Genomic DNA, 20,481 nt, shown 5'->3' on the forward strand with positions numbered 1-20,481 from the left:
TTTGTTGCCTTTCATTCTTTTAATATGTGATTTGCATACTTTATATTCAGAAAAACATTACAGTTTTGAGTTGTCTGTAGTGATTAGAATAAAACTAAACCAGCATTTCCCAAATAGTATTTAAAAAATTACCAGGTCTTTGAACTGTCATTTCTTGAATAAAGAATTCTTTAAGTCTGGGAATCTTGATGATAAACTATATCAAGACTATTTTCTTGGGTATTCAGAATGACTGTTAATATATTCCAGGTCTAGCATTTCTCATTCCTTATTAGGGAAGAGCTAAGAGATCATGAGAGGAAGAGTTGAAATGTTGGTAAGTTACAGGTACTTTTGCATGTGCTTTTGTATATGCATAGAAAAAAAAGAACCTCAGACAGTTATTACCTCTTGGTTTAAATTTGGGAAAAACGTGGACTTTTGCCCTTTACACTGTGTAGTTATGTATATTTTGCATTCTTTTCCTTATAGCAGGCCTTAACTTTTGAAATAAAAGAACATACAATTGTAAAGCATTCCATCTTTTTTTTTTTTTAATCAAGCCATAAAGCCAGATAAAAATATAAGAGCATTTATCACATTTCTAGATGGTGGAAGATATCCAAAGTTTAATAGGTATATAAGAAATTAGAAAGACAGATTTTACTGTGTGAAAAGTTTAAATTTTTGAATATTAACAGAAAAAAAGAAAAACATTAACAGCAAATAACTTGGGAAAAATATTTGTGGTAAATAGGGCCAAGTCTTACTACTTTTATATAAAAGAGATATATAAATTGCCAATAAGCACACAGAGATTCCAGTAGATAAATAGGGAAAGTAGTCTCATTAAAGGAAATACTGTAACTAACAAACTCAAGAGAAAGTATTTAGACCCAGTAGTAACCCAAATAAAATAAACGTTAAATAAAATAAACCCAAATAAAATAAACATTAAATATAACCATTTTTATTTTTTAATAATTAAAGAATTATTACTGCTCGCAGAGGTATAATAAAAGTTGTGTTGCACACTTCTGATACACAAAGGTGTGATAATAGGGAGCTGGTTAACAAGTTAACTGTGGTACATCCTTCTCTTATAGTGATATGTAGTCATTATGTCTCAGAAAAATGTATAAACTTAAGAACTTGACCATATTATAATGCCAAGTGAAGAAACAAGTCACACAAAATTATATATGTAATATGACCATGACTGTATAAAACAAAACAACGCAAGTCATCTAAAGACAAAATCTAGAGCAATACAGTACAAATATTTATAGTAATTGTTCCTGAATGGTAGAACTGTAGTGATTCTTCTGCTTTTCAACTCTTAAATTTTCAACTAGTTAGATTTTCTTGATGCTATAGCCACTTGTTTTTGTAACAAGTATAGTGCTAACTGAGGTATTCGGTTTTGGAAATCTTTAAAGTACAGACTTTTTTGATGATGGGATTCAATTTAACTTGTTTATTTTTCAATAAAAATATTTAGTGCAAAAATTTTTGACACATAAATATAGTGCAAAATGATAGGAACATCATGATGTATTTAGAAATTTTAAATTCAGTTTTATGGGTAAAACTGAAAAAAGAATTTTTTTGCATTCTAAGTGATAATTTTGTGATTCTTTTGAAGAACTGTTGTAATCAATGACTAAAATTAGATTTACTGGTGCATTTTAAACTACTATGTTTGTTTTATTGCTTAATTTAGACATGTTCCTATAAATAAAAAGCAGTAATCAGAAACAACAATTTAACTCCATTAATTTATGTTCCTGTGGGCATGGTAGAGAAATAACTTCTCTTGAAACAGTGAAAATTCTATTTTCTTTATTTCAGTTCACTAATACCATTACATGTTTATAGTGTTTTGGAATAGTATTTTGAGACCCACTTTTTGTGTTCCAGAAAAGTTTTAAGAAACAGTTTCTTTCTTTTCTGATTCTAAAACTGCAAGAGACACCAGTTAACTAAGTAGTCCTGACAATGCGTGAACTTTGCTGTGTTTGACTCTATGTGTTAAGGCAGAGAACTAAATAAAAAACATACTCTCTTTCTTAATTTGGGCATTCTTTTACTATATTGAAAGTTTTAGGTTTCAGTGGCTGGCCTCAATAAAATGTGCATTGCTTTAGAGCAGTTCGAATAATAGTTAAAGATACAGGCTTTGGTGTCAGATAGACCTGAAATTAAATGTTGGCTGTGCCACTTTTCAGCTATATGACTTCTTTCAAGTTATTTAATACCACCAAAAACTTTCCTCATCTGTAGAGTAGGATAACAGTAGTAATCATCTCATAAGATTAAATGAGATCATTCATATTTAATGCTTAGGTAAGCACCTAGCTTATGGGATAATTAATAAAGGACAACTGTTATTATCAGTAATTTTTTTCACCAAGTGTTTACTTCATTTCTAAGCTTTTAAGTAATTTTTAAATATATACATATATATCTACTTGATATTTTACTTCTTTGCCAGAGTCTAACTTCTAGTAACTGCTACCTAAAATCTCTTATATGAAAATAGTTCTGCAGATTAAAGTCAGCCTGTTGTGTATTTGTGTGCTTGACTGTTCTAGTTATGTTACTTAGTCTAGTGAGTTTCTTGGTTTTTCTGCAGAACCCATTTGTACAATGGGAATAAAAATAACTTCTTTCATTGTTAAGAGGATTATGTGAATTCATATTCTTAAAACCTGAAAAATAGTGGTTATATAAGGTTTTGAGGAAAGTAAAGTTTGGTTTTGACAGTGGTATCTTCATTGTCATCTGTGCCATTATAAACCCTTCTGTAGTTTGAGACACTGTTCTAAGCATTTTTTAATACGTATTTAATCCCTTTAGCAACCCTATGAGGTAGTTAGGTATAACTGTTTTACAAACTGCTGCACAGAGAGGCAGAGTAACTCACCCATAGTCACACGCGAATAAGTTGTACAGCTAGGATTCAGACATAAGTGTTGTAGCTCTAAAGTCTGTGCTATTAATCAGTAATATACTGTCTCAACCCTGTTTATGCTCCATCCAGCTACTACTTTGGGGTTTATCTGGGAGTAGAGAATGGAAAAAGGAGAAATGATCTGGAGTGGTTTCTAATAGTCCTGAAGAATAGAGGCAGTATAATTACTGAGGCCAGTGGTTAATCATCCTCTTCTCACTTAGTTATAGAAATACTATTGTCTCTCGTTTCTCTTCTGTAAATCTTACAAGTTCATCACAGGAGTTTTTCTAGAGTATCTTAACTTCCCTGTATTATGTGACAGCATCTTAACCTCAGACTGCATATCCTTTTCCACTATGCTCCATCTGAGAACACAGTTCAGATGCCTCATGATCTTTCCTAGTTTCCACCTAGTGTTGTTTCTAGCATCCTTCTATAGATGTTGGGAGTCAGTCTATAACAATGGTGGCAGTCTTATTAAGTGACTCTGTACCTCAAAGATCATTTATTCTTTGGTGAATGAATTTTCCATTTTAGAAATCTTAGATTCCATTGTATATTACATTATCTCTTCATATTAGTTACACAGACCAGTGGACCAGACTAGTTGAAGGTTGTCTGGACATTTTATTTTATGGCTTGGAAATTTTAGTGAAATTAATGAAGGAAACTTCCAGGGATAAGTCAGAAATAATTTGTGTTTAGCTTTAAAATGTGTTCATATGCTTATGTTTAAATAGAAGTTTAGTAGATTTCTAAATTGCACATCATGTTTAATTTCAGCATAATGAAAAAAATTTAAACAAATATGTCATCATCATGTATACTTTGTTGAGAGCAGAGATTTTTTTCCCCCTTCTTCCTGTCTTTTCACTGCTACTATTACCCTCTTTTTTGTTAGAGACTAGCATTTTTGAGGCTGAGTTTCTTTAAAAAAAAAAAAAGTTTCTGTACTGAAATTCAGTACATTTAATTATTATATAGTAAAGATACTGGTCTTTTTCACTGAAGAAAAAAAGTCACTCCAAAATATAATCAAATCTCCTTCTCCTCTTCCCCCTCCACCCTCCCCATATAATTTCATCAGATGGCAATACTTCTTACCAGCTCACTGCTAATGAATTAGTGCCAGCTGGAAAGGAAGAAGAGCATAGCTACCTGAGGTTAGCAATTTTTAACTTCAACACAACTTGCCCCTTCTAAAATCCAGCTTCTTTGCAGAAGAAACCTACAGTAAGGGACAGAAGCATCTAAATCGTATCAAATTTAAAGGTGACAAGAGATCTGAATTAGTTACAGACTCATGAAAGTTTCCCTCAATATATGTTTCTTTTTGCTAATATGTTGTGAGTGTTCTTTTTCTAGAGAGGAACTTTAGCCACTTTTTCCCCGTATTTCTAATAATAAACCTTGTTCTACATTCAGTTTATAAACTTGACAAAGTATGTTAGTGATCTTGATGTTTTTTGTTCTGCTTGAGCCTCTGAAAACATCCCGTGTCTAATTTGATTTCAGTGTGTTTATATTCTGTAAATGTACATGGGTGACCTTTTACTACTGAACTTTGCATATTACATGCATCCATTACTTCACATTATAGTTGCATGAGCACTTATTAATAGGATTGGCAACAGTGTTATTATATAAGTTCTGGATAGTGAAAACTCCCTTATTGGCCACACTTCCAAGGATGGCACCTGAATCCAAAGAATGGTAGGACTGCCCAAATCAGAGAGCCCTGCACATTGTTTCTGTCAGACTGGAGGCTGTCTCAATGTGTGATAATATAAACGATAAGCAGTTTTGGTTTTTGGTGGCTTTTTTTTTTTTGGTTCTATGAAAAGTCTGGTGAAAGGGTACTACGTCTTTCAAAAAACTCTTCTGAAAATTATTTTCATCCATCTGTCTATCCATTTAAAAAGTATTGAATTTTGTCCAGCTCTAGGCACTGTTGTAGATACTAGAGATCTAACAGTGGAAAAAAACAACAAAACAAAAAGCCCTGCTGATAGATCTTGTTATTCTTCTAGTAGAGGGTGATAAGTAAAATACATTATGAGTTAGGTGATCCACTCTATGGAGAAAAATTAAGCAGGGTAAGGGAATAGAGAGTGGAATATGACTTAAAATAGTGGTCAGTGTCTTCACTGAGAAGATGACATATAAAAGGATCTCAAAGATGATGAGGTAACAAAACATATATCCAGGGGAAGACAATTCTGGATTGGTGAGATTTAGCAGGTATGAAAATTCATAAGAAGATACCGTGAATAAATTTTAGGTCCTATAATAATTTATAGTTAGTAAGAAATGATGAACTTTTTTTATTAGCTGTAAAAATGAAAATACAGTCTGATTTTTAGGTAACTGAATCCTGGGAAAGTCAAGAGCGCACCCGCTTTTTTCTTCCAGTAAATGGCACCACCGTGTATTTGAGTTTATTCACTCTTCCTGCCCACTAACATCAATAGCCAGTCTATATCCAGTCTAGTATATTCTACCTTGTATGTCATTTCTTTTCCCTCCTCGTAATTCCCAATGACACTAGTTCAGTTTAGGTCTTGTCACTTTTCTCCTGGATTATTATTATATCTTTTTTTTTTTTTTTTTTTGAGACAGAGTCTCGCTCTGTCGCCTGTGCTGGAGTGCAGTGGCGTGATCTTGGCTCCCTGCAATCTCCGCCTTCTGGGTTCAAGCGATTCTCATGTCTCAATCCTGAGTAGCTGGGACTACAGGCATGCACCACCACACCTAGCTAATTTTTGTATTTTTAGTAGAGACGGGGTTTCACTATGTTGGCCAGGATGGTCTTGAACTCCTGACCTCAAGTGATCTGCCTGCCTCGGCCTCCCAAAGTGCTGGGATTTCAGGCGTGAGCCACTGCACCCGGCCTATTATGTCTTCTTAATGTCAGATTCATGTCTAAACCTCACTCACTTACCCCCTGCCAAGCCAAACATGCTATTGCTTTGCTAAACTTTTTTGCAGTTACCATCATCTTTTGTACGTTGTATGAGGTAGAAAACCTTTAATTCTTTGTTTCTTCCTCTGGATTGTTTCTTCACTTTACATATTTGTTCAGTCATCAAATTTTACTGATTGATTAGAGTTTTCCAGTGCCTCTGGAATTCATTTAACTCTATTTTACTCTCATTGGTCTTTTTAGGGGCCCTCATGTCCTCCTCCTTGTCTATTAAAAAAGCTTATTCACTAACTCATTTCTCTTCCCCTAGTCTCTTTCACCTACATAATGAAGTTTATCATTTGCATTGATAACAATTTTTTTTTTTTTCCAAAACGAAGTCCAAGCTCTCTGGCCTGGCATTTAGAACCTACTTTCTCCATATCTTGAACACATCGAACCCACAATTCCTATTTAATGCCTCTATTCCTTTGTTATTTGCTCTATTCAGTATGACTCCCCTGCTATCTTTTTTTATGTAAGAAATTTATCTGAGTTGGTTTTCAAGCTCAGGTCAGACATCTGTTGTACTCTATAAACCTTCTGCCCTCAACTCTCCTATATCCGCCCCTGTACCCAATAAATAACTGATCTGGCATGTGCATTCCCATAGTATGTTTTAAAAATTTACACTACTAATTCATCAATACCTTCTTACTTAAAAAAAAATCCAACAATGAGAGATCTATAAAGATAAAAAGTAAAAAAATGTGAACTTTGCTTTTTTAGATTCTAATCTCATTTCACTCTCCAGTTGTCCTGTATCTCTTGAGTAAATAAATACCTAGGAATAGAATTGCTGGGTCATATCACATGTCTAGTAATTTCAGATTGGATGTTAGATACTGTATTACATTATCCATTGTCTGATTTTTGTCCTTTTCCTTTAAAGAGTATTGAAGGTTGTTTTGGGTGGCAGGTAAGCTGCTTGGAGATCTTACTGATCTTTTGAGGCTTTTTGTATGTCTTTTAGGATGGATTTAACTGTTAAGCTAGCTTAGCCCTTCTGAAGTCCACTGAATGTCCTAGGTCTTTAAGAAGGTCTCTCCATTCTGGCTAGTCAGAACCGAAATGTCTCCCAGTCCTATATGAACTGGGTAGCCAAAAACCCTAGTAGTCATTCTTTGCCTGTATTTGTGGAGTGTCACTATGTATTTGGATAGTATTCAGTAAGACTCGGGAAACCCCTGCAGGTTTCTAGAGCTTTTCTCTGTGTGGCTCCCACATCACTGGTGCTCTGCTTCACAAATAGCTGCTTCTGCTTCTCTGAACTTTAATCTTTTTCTCCTCAACTTAACAAGGCTGCCATACTATGCTTGGTTTCTCTCACTCTACATGATGGACAAAACCTTAAGAGGTTAGATGGTGACTTCTGCCAGAAAACCTGTTTGTTTTCCTTCCCTCATGATATCAGTCCTGTGCTGCCTGCTGTCTCATGTCTGAATATGGTTGGTTGATCTATTTTGTCCAGTTCTCTTGTTTCTGGGCACTAGTTTGGTACCAGGTACTCTATTAGTAGAATAATAAAATGACCATCTGTGTGTCCATCAGTCAGTTTGAACAATTTTCAGTCTTTTTCCACTGGAGTATATTTAAGCACATCCAAGATATCATTATTTCATTTCATCCAAAAATACTTTTTATTATTGTAAGCATTCCAGTAAACAATGATGAATGCAAATGATGAAATATGAGGCCTGGAGTTTTAGGAAAAGAAATCGTTCTGAGCCTTTCCAGAATTATGGTTGGAGAACTAAAGCCTCTTAGTCCCAGAATTTACATAGGACTGCCAGAACTTTCTAGATCAAGCCTTGCACATTTCAGAATCATCTCAAATGGATTCATCCTCATTTATTGTATGCCTGCTATCTGTAAAACACTTGCTATACACTGCTACTGAAGATGCTAATGAATAATTGTTTAAAGTTAATGGCAATATAAAATAACAGATTGCCAGGTAAATATCTTGAAAAGTCATAATAGCATTTCAGGGTAAAGTGATTAGTTGTCAAGGGAAGTTTTGTAGATAAGGAGACTTGAGTTCTATACTTGGGAGAGAAGTCAGGACTTAGGTAAGTTATGTTGCAAGGAAAAACACTATAATTAATTGCATTCTTGAAGTTTCTGTTCCCCCACACCCCAAATCTATTAGGTTATTTGCCACATTATTCTTTTCTTTAGCTGGCACTTAAAGCATTTGGTATCTCCTGCACAGAAGAATTTGCTCAAAGAAATGGCTGTTGAATTTGTGAATCAGTTTTCTGTATCACCTGATCTAGCCCTCAAAGCATACTTGACATGCTTTAAAAGCAGTCTTCTTTTCTTTTAAGACTTCTGTGTAGTTTTTATGCTACACTTGGTATTGTGGTTTGATTTTTGGTTTTTACCAATTTGATGAGAAATTACTCCCCGCTCAGTGTCCTGGGAAGTTTGACTAGTGGTTGACCCATCCCATAGAAACATTTTATTTTTTTCATGGCCCTTTAAGGGCCACTCATTAACATGAATGCCTTATCATTCATTGGAATAGAAAACTGGGAGGCTTTACTTTTAGTTACAAAAGTTAATGTATGGAAAATACATTAATAAAACCGGCTTAGCTTCATTTTTCCTACTTTCTTGTGATATTTTTCTTAGACTTGCTATTGATACCTCAGATAAATATCCAGCAGTTTAGAGATGTGGAAAAAAATATGGCAGTTGGAATCAGAGAGGCCCAGGTTCCAGTTCAGATTCTGCTTTTTCCCAAGACTTTGGAAAAGCCATTTTCTAAAGTTGCTTTCTGTGCTGTGTGTCTATAAAATGAGAAAAATGAGTGATTAGATTCTTAATAAGTTGCAACTGGTATTGTTGTCTAGGTTGCCTTCTGAATTATGTAAATATAATGTGCCTCCATTGCATATTTATGACAATTTATAAGTGTTTAAAAAAGAAGGGGATTCTAGTTCATTAACTGCGAGGTTTTAGAGTGAACTAGAATTTGAAGAATGACAAAACTTTAAGAGGTTGCCAAAAAATACAGGTGTACTTGTTCAAAAGCAAGTCTCAGATTGAGTCATGTATCAAATGTAAGCAATAACAGACTTGACTCCTCTGGGGAACTTAGGCAGAGTATTCATTTATACAATACTTGAAAATTCCAAGTATTAACAAAGATAGCTTCTTTAATATAGCGAGAAACTCCTTACATCATATCCTTGAATAATGTCATAACATCGATGAGGGAAAAAAATTGATCCCTGGCCAGGGCCACTGTCAATATGGAATTTTCATATTCTCCCTATGTCTGTGTAGTACTGTAGTTTCCTCCCACATCCCAAAGATGTACGCTTTGGGTGAATCAGCATCTGCATGGCCCCAGTCTGAGCGAGTGTGGGGTATGTGTGTGAGTGCGCCCTCCAATGGAATGACATCTGGTCCAAGGTGGGCTTCAGCTTTGGCCCCAAGCTGCTGGGATGGGCCGTGGCCACCTGCAATTCTGAACTGGAATTAGTGGGTAAATGTTTTTATTCATCTTTCTTAAATGTATGTATAGCTTACATTTATTTCAATGTCTTTTTTTTTTTTTCAAAAAACTGTTTGTATATTGCATATATAACTAAAATATAAAAGCAACATTTTATAAAACTTTCTAGAGAGACAAATTCCACACAAGTGGTAAGGGCAACCTAGTGTCTCTAGATTTGTTCTGTTTCATAAATTGGATTTTAACAAATCCTATGTAAATCAATTTTTGTAAATAAAATGTAATTGTTGGATTTTTCACATGTTAGATTTTTGCAATAATCTGAGATTTACAACACTTTCTGATGTATGTTCACTCTGATTCTGAAACTAAATTATATTATTGGATTTCATATACAGTATTAAAATTAGTGGTGGTTTACCAAGATTAAACTTTAAAGCATATCTGAAAGTTATCTATCTGTAAATAAGACAAATTGTCTACAGAATTAGTTTTATATAGTCAGTGATGTGTAAACCTCTTGGCTTTAAGAACCACAACAACTTTGAATGCATTAAGAAAACTGTCACACAATTGATCCGAAACTGCATTAAGAAAAAAATTCCTACTTTTTTTTTTTTTTTTCCTTTCACTGGTTTCTTGTCTCTCAGGGTCATCGTTCCATGGGCTGTCCCCACCCAACCCCACCAAGTTTCCTTCATTGACATTTCTGTTCTTTCCTTCACAAATTCTGCCATGGCTTGTAGGGAGAGCACCTGATTAACCAATACTGAGCTGGGAATGACCGACACTTCTTAGCTAGTTCTATAAATTTTGTTAGTTTGTTTTTGTTAGCCCCAGTTAATCTCAAATAGATAGAAATTTAGAACATTATTGAGGGGATTATAATGGGATTAATCCCTTTTGCCTATCCCATAATGTATTCAGCTGTTTCATTTCTTTTTGTTCATTTGTGATTTTGTGTTTTCAAAGTAAAAAATCTGAATATTTATTTAGAGTTTACTTTGGATTAAAAATATTCAATTTATTAGAGCTTCAAAATAATAACTGTAGCTCAAACTTTTAAGTTCCATCTACAAATCTTAAAAATCTATTCGTAAATCTAGCAAATTTCAACACTTTTAGAGGGGAATCTTACAAATTAAATTCTCTTACGTATATTAATGTATATTTATAAATATGCCTTATAAATATATAATAAATTATATATTTTGTTTCTTCTTAAAATACTTGAATTGTCTAACAAGCTTTGTACCATTTCATGAGCAGGTATTTTTGCCAAAGCATGATATATGCATTGTGTAAACACCTTCATTCTGCACAAGTGCACACTAAAAACAAAGCTTGTGGGAAAATCGTTGGAACAGATCACTTAAAACTTCCTATAACTTTGAACTAGAGGAGTCACAAATAATAATCTTAATAAAAGTTAGAAAATAATTAAATTTTTTCTTTTCCATGTAGTTTCACAAAGACAACTGCAAGTTATAAATATTTTTTTTCAAATAAGTATAATTTCCTACTGCTTCCCTACTCTTCACATTCTTTTCCCCAGTTAGCTTACCTAGCTTTTAGTTCAGATTCTTCTCAGAATCGTATGGTCAAAGTCTGGTGTTTAATTTCCCTTCATGTTTCTTCTCAAAATTTATCAAAACTATCACTATGACTTAAGTTGGCTGGGTTCTATTTCATTAGTGCAAGTAAACAATAACTTGTTATCACCCATTTGTGGTAAAACTGTGGTATAGCTGGCTCTTCTGTTTGAGACCTATAGAAAAGCTCTGAATGTTTTTTTTCTTTCATGAGTGGATGTGTACATAGCACTCCTGATGGAGATATTTATCTTTTTTATGGGCATCTATATTGAATCCTTTGGAGTATATCGATTTAAATGCAAAGTGTAGCTTAGAAATAAATGTTTGGGCTGGGTGAGGTGGCTCACGCCTGCAATCTCAGCACTTTGGGAGGCCCAAGGCGGGTGGATCACTTGAGGTCGGGAGTTCAAGACCAGCCTGACCAACATAGCAGAACCCCCGTCTCTACTAACAATACAAAAATTAGCTGGTGTGGTAATCCCGGCTACTCAGGAGGCTGAAGCAAATTGCTTGAACTGGGAGGTGGACATTGCAGTTTGCCGAGATTGCACCACTGCACTCCAGCCTGGGTGACAGAGCAAGACTCCATTTAAAAAAAAAAAAAAAGAAAAGTTCAGTTACATTTTCTCTTGAAAATTCAGGTTTTTGTTTTCTATCCATCTTCCTTACCTTGTATAGTTTAACTTAACTTTTGCTCTGTATAATTCGTACTATAACATTAGTATGAATATGGTAGGTAGTGCATGTCAAATCTATTATCTGTTCTTCCAAACAATTTTGCTTTTAGTGAGAAAACCATCATAATTAAAATATTGAAGCTGGTTAGTTTCTCAAGCACATGACTGGGATCAAAAGCAAAGGAGTAACTGTTAACATTTAATACACTCAAAATGTCAAAAAACATACGTGCATACATCCCACTTATGCAGGGATCCACGTATTAAACATCATCAATTGCCTGGAATAGCTAAGACTCAGGAAATAAGGCCTCCAAGGGGACACTCATCTTTACTCATTTAAGACATTTGTTGGTTTTGGGCTATATACAAGGCAATGGTGTGAATTAGAGTTGATTTTTTCCCAGTCTGAAGCTCATAGTTTATTAAGGGGACAAAAGCTAAATTCAGATAATATCAAATATACTGTAAAAGTGATGTGTACTCTAAAGGAGCTACAGATAAATAGCTTTGGGAGGCAGTTTAGAAAGGGAATATACTTTCAGTGTATTATTGAGGAATTCTTTGTAAAGAGAGTAGCATCTGAGCTGAGTCATGAGGTATATTAGTCTATTCTCACACTGCCATAAATAAACACCTAAGACTGGGTAATTTATAAAGAAAAGAGGTTTAATTGGTTCACAGTTCCGCAGGCTATACAGGAAGAATGGCTGGGGAGGCCTCAGGAAACTTACAGTCATGACAGAAGGAGAAGGGGAAGCAGGCACCTCTTACACGGCCAGAGCAGGAAGCCGGGGAGAGGTGCTACACACTTACACACTTTTTTTTTGTTTTGTTTTGTTTTTGTTTTTGTTTTTGTTTTTGTTTGTTTGTTTGTTTGAGACAGAGTCTCACTCTGTTGCCAGGCTGGAGTGCAGTGGCACCATCTCGGCTCACTGCAACCTCCGCCTCCCGGGTTGAAGCAATTCTCCTGCTTCAGCCTCCTGAGTAGCTGGGACTACAGGCACACGCCGCCATGCCCGGCTAATTTTTTTTGTGTGTGTATTTTAGTGGAGACAGGCTTTCACCCTGTTGCCCAGGCTGGTCTCGAACTCCTGAGCTCAGGCATTCTGCCCGACTTGGCCTCCCAAAGTGCTAGGATTACAGGCGTGAGCCACTGCATGCAACTGAGCTACACACTTTTAAACAACCAGATCTCACGATAACTTACTATCACAAGAACAGCACCAAAGGGGAAATTGCCCTCATGATCCAGTCACCTCCCACCAGGCCCCACCTCCAACGTTGGGGATTACAATTTGACATAAGATTTGTGTAGGGACAGAGACCCAAACCATGTAATTCCACCCTTGTCCCCTGCCAAATCTCATGTCTTTCTCACATTTAAAATACAATCATGCCTTCACAAGAGTCCCCCAAAGTCTGAACCCATTCCAGCATTAACTCAAAAGTCCGAAGTCTCATCTGAGACAAAACTAGTCTCTTCTGCCTATGAGCCTGTAAAATCAAAAACAAGTTAATAACTTCCAAGATACAATGGGAATACAGACATTGGTTAATACTCCCGTTCCGAAAGGGAAGAATCAGCCAAAAGAAAGGGACTATAAGCCCCGTGCAGATCTGAAACACAGTAGGGCAGTCATTAATTCTTAAAGCTCCAAAATAACCTCCTTTGACTCCATGTCTCACATAGCATTAAGTACATTTACAGTGTTTTGTACAACTATCACAATTACCTAGTTCCAGAACTTTTACATCACTCCAGGCAGAAACCATGGATTCATTAAGCAGTCATTCCCTGTTCTCTTCTGCTCTCAGCCCCTAGAACCATACATTTGTTTCTTGTCTGTGTCTCTCTGGATTTGCCTATTCTGGATACACTATATAAATATAATACAGCATGTACCTTTTGTGTCTTATTTAATTGCTGGATACTTTGTATAAATGGAATCACACACTATGTACCTTTTGTGTCTTCTTAATGTAATGTTTTCAAGGTTAATTCGTGTTTTAGCATGTATCAGTACTTCGTTTCTTTTATGGCTGAATAATATTTTGTTATATGGATTTACCACAGGGTGTTTATCCATGAATCAGGTGATGGCCATTGAGGTTGTTTTCACTTTTTGGCTATTGGAACAGTCCTGCTATGACTAGGAGTGTTCATAGCAGTTGTTCATGTACAATTTGTATTTGAACACCTGTTTTCAATTATTTTTGGGTATATACCTGGAAGTAGAATTGCTAGGTTACATGGTAATTCTATGTTTAACTTTTTGAGAAACTGCCAGACTGTTTTCCCACAAGCCATATGTGAAGGTTCTGGTTTCTCCATATCCTCATCAACATTTGTTATTTTCTGGGTTTTTTTTTTTATTATATTAGGGTCATCCCAATGAATGTGAAATAGTATCTCATTATGGTTTTGATGTGTATTTCCCTAATGATTAATGACATTGAACATACTTTCATTTGCTCTTTGGCCATTTGTGTATCTTCTCTAGATAAATATCTATTCAAGTCTTCTTCCCACTGTCTTTTTTTTTTTTATTTTTTTAAAGAAAGCTTCTTGCTCTGTCTTCCAGGCAGTGTCACAATCATAGCTCACTGCATCCTTGATTTCTTGGGCTCAAGCAATCCTCTCACCTCAGTCACCAGAGTAGCTGGGACTACAGGCATGCACCACCACACCTGGCTAATTTTTTGATTTTTTTGTGAAGTTGGGATCTCACTACATTGTTCAAGCTAGTCTCAAACTCCTGGGCTCAAGCAATCCTCCTGTCTTGGCCCCCCAAAGTGCTGGAATTACAAGCATGAGCCACCATGCCCTGCCTCTCCCTTCTTTTTAATTGGTTTGTTTATCTTTGAGTTATAAGAATTATTTATATATTCTGGATACTACATCCTTTTAAGATACATGATTTTCATATTTTTTTTCTCATTGTCTGGGCTTTTCACTTTCTTGGTAGTGTATTTTGCACAAAAAAGTTTAATTTTGATGAAGTCCAATTTATATATATATTTTGTTCCTTACAGTTTTTTTATATCTAGAAAACAATTGCCAAATGCAAGGCCATGACAATTTACGCCTATATTTTCTTCTATTTTTTTAAGAATAGTTTTAGCTCTTATATTTAGAGTTTTTATTCATTTTGAATTATTTTTTACTTATGATGTGAGATAAGGATCCAACTTAATTCTTTCGTAAATGGTTATTCAGTTGTCTTAGTACAGAGAATGTTGTTTCCCCTGTTGAGTGCACTTGGCACCTTTGCCAATAATCAATTGACCATAGGTATACAGGTTTATTATTAGGCTCTTAATTCCATTCCATTGATCTGTATGTCTGCCCTTGTATCATTACCACACTGTGTTGGTTACTGTAGCTTTGCAGTAGGTTTTGTGATCAGGAAATGTGAATTCTCCAACTTTGTTCTTCTTTTCAAGATTATTTTGGCTCTTCGGGGTTCCTTGCCTTTCTGTATGAATTTTAGGATCAGCTTTCCCATTTCTGTTTTTTTTTTTTTTTTTTTTAAAAGAACATTGGGATTTTGGTAGAAATTGCATTTAATCTATAGCTGTTTGGGAAGTATTATCGTAACAATATTAAATATTCCATTCATGAACATAATATACCTTTCCAATTTCTTAGTTCTCCCTTAATTTATTTACGCATACAACTCTTACTCATCCTTGGGTCAGTTTATTCCCAAGTATTTTATTCCTTTTTGATGCTATTGTAAATGGAGTTGTTTTCTGAAATTTTTATTGCTAGCGTAGAGAAATATATACGATTTCTGTGTTGATCATGTACTACAGCTTTGATGAATTTATTAGCTCTAATAACTCTTCTGTGGATTCTTTAGAATTTTCTATATATACTATACTATTATGACATCTTTGAATAAAGAGAGTCCCATTTTTTCCGTTTCTGTTGGATGACTTTTCTTTTTCTTACTTGATTGCTGTCTAGAATGTCCAGTATTATGCTGAACGGAAGTAGTGAGAGCAGCATTCTTGTCTCATGCATGATCGTAGCGGGAAAACTTTCAGTCAGTAAACAGTCATTTACTGTTGAGTAAGATGTTAGCTGTGCGCTTTATCATATATGTCCTTTATCATTTTGAAGAAGTTCCCTTCCTTTCCTCATTTGTTGAGTGTTTTTATCTTAAAAGATTATTACTATTTTTTCAGATGCTTTTTCTGCATGAATTGAAATCATTCTGGGATTTTTCCCCTTCATTCTATTAATATGATTACATTGTATTACATTGATTTTCATGTGTTGAACCACCATTGTATTCTTAGGCTAAAGCCCACTTGGTAGTGGTGGATAATCCTTTTAATATGCTACTGGATCCAGTTTGCTAATATTTTGTTCAGGATTTTTTTTACATCTATATTCATAAGGTATATTGAGCCATGGTTTCCTTTTCTTGCAGTGTCTTTGTCTGACTTTGGTATCAGGGTAATTCTGGCCTCATAGAATGAATTAGAAGTCCGGGGATGGTGGCTTAACGCCTGTAATCCCAGCATTTTGGGAGGCCAAGGTGGGCAGATCACGAGGTCAGGAGATCTAGACCATCCTGACCAACATGGTGAAACTGCATCTAAAATAAAAAAATTAGCTGGGCATGGTGGCACATGCCTGTAATCCCAGGTACTCGGGAGGCTAAGGCAGGAGAATTGCTTGAACCAGGGAGTCGGAGGTTGCGGTGAGCTGAGATCGCACCACTGCACTCCAGCCTAGCGACAGAGCAAGACTCTGTCTCAAAAAAAAGGAATGAATTAGAAAGTGTTCCCTCCTCTTACCTATTTTTTTTTAATAACATCTTGAGAAGGATGAATGTTCATTCTTATTTAAATATTGTATAGGTCACTAATTAAGCCATCTTGTTTTGGGTTCTTCTTTATTGGGAGGTTTTTTGATTAGTGACTCAATTTCATTACTTATTATAGGTCTATTCATATGTTTTATTTCCTCGAGTCAGTTGGGAAATTTGTGTGTTTCTAGGAATTTGTCCATTTAACATAGGTTATCTAACTTGTTAGCATTCAGTTGTTTACAATATTCTCTTATAACCCATACTATTTTTTTGTATGATCAGTAATAATATTCCCACTTTCATTTCAGACTTATAAAGTCTTCTTTTTCCTTAGGTTTTTCAATTGTATTGATGTTTTCAAACAACCAACTTGCTTTAATTGATTTTTCTCTGTTTTTCTATTCTCGATTTCATGTATAGCCACTCTAATTTTTATCACATCCATCCTTCTGCCAGCTCTTTTACTAGTTCCATAAGGTATAAAGTTAGGTTACTGATTTGAAATCTTTTTCTTAATATAGGCATTTTACCTATAAATTTCTCTCTGAGGACTTCATTCACTGTATCCCATAACGTTGCATGTTTGTTTTCATTAGTTTCAGAGCATTTCCTGATTTCCCTTTTGGTTCTTCTTTGAGTCATTGATTGTTTTACAGTGTATTTTGAATTTCCACATATTTGAATTTTCTAGTTTTTCTTTTACTGATTTTTAGTTATATTCCATTTGGTTAGAGAAGATACTTTATGTGCTTTCAGTCTTTTAAAATTTATTAAGACTTTTTTGTGGTTTAATATCCATTCTGTCTTGGAGAATGTTCCATGTGCATTTGAGAATAATATGTATTCTGCTGTTGGGTGGCATATTCAGTATGTGTCTTAGGTCTAAGTGGTTTATATAGTGTTATTTAACTTCTCTATTTCCTTATTTTCTGTCCAGTTCTATCCATTATTGAAAGTGGGGTATTGAAGTCTCCAACATTATTACACATCTATTTTTCCCTTCAGTTTTGTGTTCTTTCTTCATATATTAATATTTTGTGGCTCTGATGCTATATTTGAATCTCTTTATAGGTGTGGTATCTTCTTGCTAGATTGACTGTTTGATCATTATAAAAATCCTTCTTTGTCTCTTGTGATAGTTCCTAAAGTCTTTTGTTTTTTTGTTTGTTTGTTTGTTTGTTTCTGATTTTACCACAGCCACCCTACTATTTGCATGGAATATATTTTTCCTTCCTTCCACCTTCAACTTGTTTCCTTGGATCTAAAGTAATTTTCTTGTAGACAGCTTATAAATGGACTCATTTGGTTTATTCGAATCCATTCTGATAATGCTTGCCTTTTAATGAATGCATTTAATCCATTTACATTAAAGTACTTACTGATAAAGAAGGATTTCTGCCATTTTGCTATTTGTTTTCTATTATGTCTGTATCTTTTTTGTCCTGGGTTCCTCCACTGCTGCCTTTTTGTTGTTGTTGTTGTTGTTTTTATTGTTGTTGTTGGTTTGATTTTTTTGCATTGTACCATTTCAACTCCTTTCTCATTTCCTTTTTTGTACATGTTTTAGTTATTAATGGTTACCTTGGGGATTAAATTAACATCTTGCATGTACAACAGCCTAGTTTGAAGTAATACCAACTTAGCTTCAATAATATCTCAAAACTATGTTCCCGTACATCTCCCTCTCTCCCTTTTTATGTTGTTGTTATGACAAATTACATCTTTATACATTGTGTAACTGTTAACATAGATATATAATTACTGTTTTATGCACTTGTCTTTTGAGTCATATAGGGAAAAAAAGGCAGATTTCTGAACCAAAAATACTGCTGGCTTTTATATTTACCTATGTAATTACTTTTATCAGTGTTCTTTATTTTCTTACATGGGTTTGAGTTATTGCCTCTTGTTTTTTCAGGCTGAAGAACTTCCTTTAGCATTTCTGGTAGTTCAGGTCTACTTGTGACAAATTCCCTCAACTTTTTGTTTATCTGGAAATTCATTAATTTCTTTTTTGTTTTTGAAGGATAATTTTTCTAGATATTTCAGCACTTGAAATATGTCATCCCACTGTTCTCTGGCCTCCATGGTTTCCTATGAAAAGTTGGCTGTCAGTCTTACTTGGGATCTCTTGTATGTGAGGAGTCACATACATCTCTTGCTGCTTTCAAGATTCTCTTCGTTTTTTTGACAGTTTGAACATGATGTGTCTCTGTGTGCATCTTTTAAAATTTATCCTACTTGGAGTTTCTTGGAAGAAAGACTCTTGGCTTTCTCAGATTTGGAAAGTTTGTAACCATGATTTCTTCATATATTCTCTTTTCTCTCTCCTTGCCTTTGGACTTCCATCATACAGACAGGCGTTGGTATTTATGATGTTGTTCCCATAAGTCTTTAAACTGGGTCTATTTTTTTTTCATTCTTTTTTCCTATTTCTTGGATTCCATAGTTAATGAAATCACTCATGTCGAATAGTCACAAACTGTTAATTTGTTGAGTTTTACAGGACAAAAATCTAACAATTGTTAGTTACTTGATTTTGTACACTATATTAGTCAGCATAGCTTAAATCATCACAGTAGAGGATTAAAAACAAAACATGTACCAAGTGTTGGCTCTTAAATCTTCTGTTCAGAAATGACACAAATCACTTCCCCTCATATTTTATAGGCCAAAGTAAATCATGTGGCCACACCTAATTTTAAGAAGGCAGGAAACTGCAGTTCTGCCGTCTGTCCAGATACGAAAAACATTAACATTTACAGTGTGTGTTCCCTTCCCTACTCCATCCCCAATCCATTCCTTAGCATTCATTCCATTATTTCTACGTGCAGACAGAGGTTACTGTGTTAGTCTCTTTAACTCTAATTTTCAGTTGCTTAGAGCCTTAAATATTAGAGTTTGATTATCAGCTCCCTTACTTTCTTAGCTTTGTGATCAAGAGCAAAGTTCTCAATATTTGTACGTTTCAGTTTTCTCTCTGAAAAAGTGGAGATAATTCCTGTCTCAAAAGATTACAAATGATTGGTTGAGAGGATGTGTATAGAACGTTTTGTACACTGTTTCATACATAGTAAATGCTCTATTCCTATTCTCCTGGCATTCAGTGCTTTCATAATCTGGCTTCAACTTATTCTTCTAGCCTCATCTTCTGTGACTCTCTTCCAGTCATCTGATGCTGTACCTTATCAAATTATAGTTGAATTCTAAGTAATAATATTTTTTATGAGAAAGTCAGAATTTTTTTGTTACTGTAATTTTTTAAAGTTTGCTCTATTTTAGTATGTTTGGAAGACAGGATGGAAACTTTCCTGCGAGATGTATCTCTAATTTTATAATGGAAGTCATGAAGAAATTAGAATTTACTTAAATTTGCTTTAAAGTTCTTGTAATACTTTAGTTGTAATAAATGAGAATATTCATATAAAGAAAAACACGGTTTCCAGTTTTAAGATAGGTAATGTGGTTTCAATTCTTTCTCTTGATAATCACCAACAGAAAAAAAGCTGAAATAAAATTCCCATCTTTAATTTAAACTAGAGGTATCTCCAACCCTTGAGCTAAAAATCCAAAGAGAAAGATAAATAACTAAGGAAGAGCATCAAACTTGAGCGCTTAAGAACCTACAGGATACTGATAAAAAGCACCTTGTTTTACCTGCAAACTCAGAAAGGCTTAGAGCTTAGAAGGACTGGTACTACAGAATATAGGAGTGAGGCAGGGGCCATCAACATAGAGATTGCTTGAAAACACTGAATAAGGATTCCTATGTTCCCACCTCACAGGAAATATACTGTCTGGTTTAACAATATGTATTATATTTAACAGAAGAGTGAGATGCTAAAGTTGTCATAGTGCCTCTTTACCCTGCTTGGCTCCAGACTTCTGTCTTTCACGCTTTGATATCCCAGGCAGGTTTGAGGGATCCTTCCTGGAGAAATGGAACCACTGAAGAAAAACTGCTCAACAGGTACTAGTATTTGAAGACCTCAAAAAAGTGCTGGCTGGCCACTACCCTGC

The 20,481-nt window shown here is 34.8% G+C and overlaps 1 protein-coding gene across 13 annotated transcripts in view, besides 1 other annotated feature; it reads left to right on the forward strand.

The window, feature by feature from the left end:
- Positions 1–20,481, forward strand: part of RIC1 (RIC1 partner of RAB6A GEF complex) — a 149,527-nt gene that overhangs the window by 60,937 nt on the left and 68,109 nt on the right. For 2 of the 13 annotated variants that reach the window (XM_017014935.2, XM_047423610.1), the window contains exon 1: positions 2–20,431. The exons of 10 other annotated variants lie outside the window; for them this stretch is intronic. The gene's annotated coding sequence lies outside the window, so the exon portion shown is untranslated. Of the gene's footprint in view, position 1; positions 20,432–20,481 lie in introns of those variants that run through there. One more of the 13 variants, XM_017014934.2, reaches the window with a different exon arrangement.
- Positions 7,139–7,258: an enhancer, noted in NCBI's record as "active region_28176". NCBI's record gives its function as "activates an Ori minimal core promoter by ATAC-STARR-seq in GM12878 lymphoblastoid cells {active_cell/tissue: GM12878}" and the evidence as "EXISTENCE:reporter gene assay evidence [ECO:0000049][PMID:35858748]".

The sequence above is a fragment of the Homo sapiens genome, chromosome 9 (genome assembly GCF_000001405.40).
Source record: "Homo sapiens chromosome 9, GRCh38.p14 Primary Assembly".
Taxonomy (NCBI): Eukaryota; Metazoa; Chordata; class Mammalia; order Primates; family Hominidae; genus Homo; species Homo sapiens.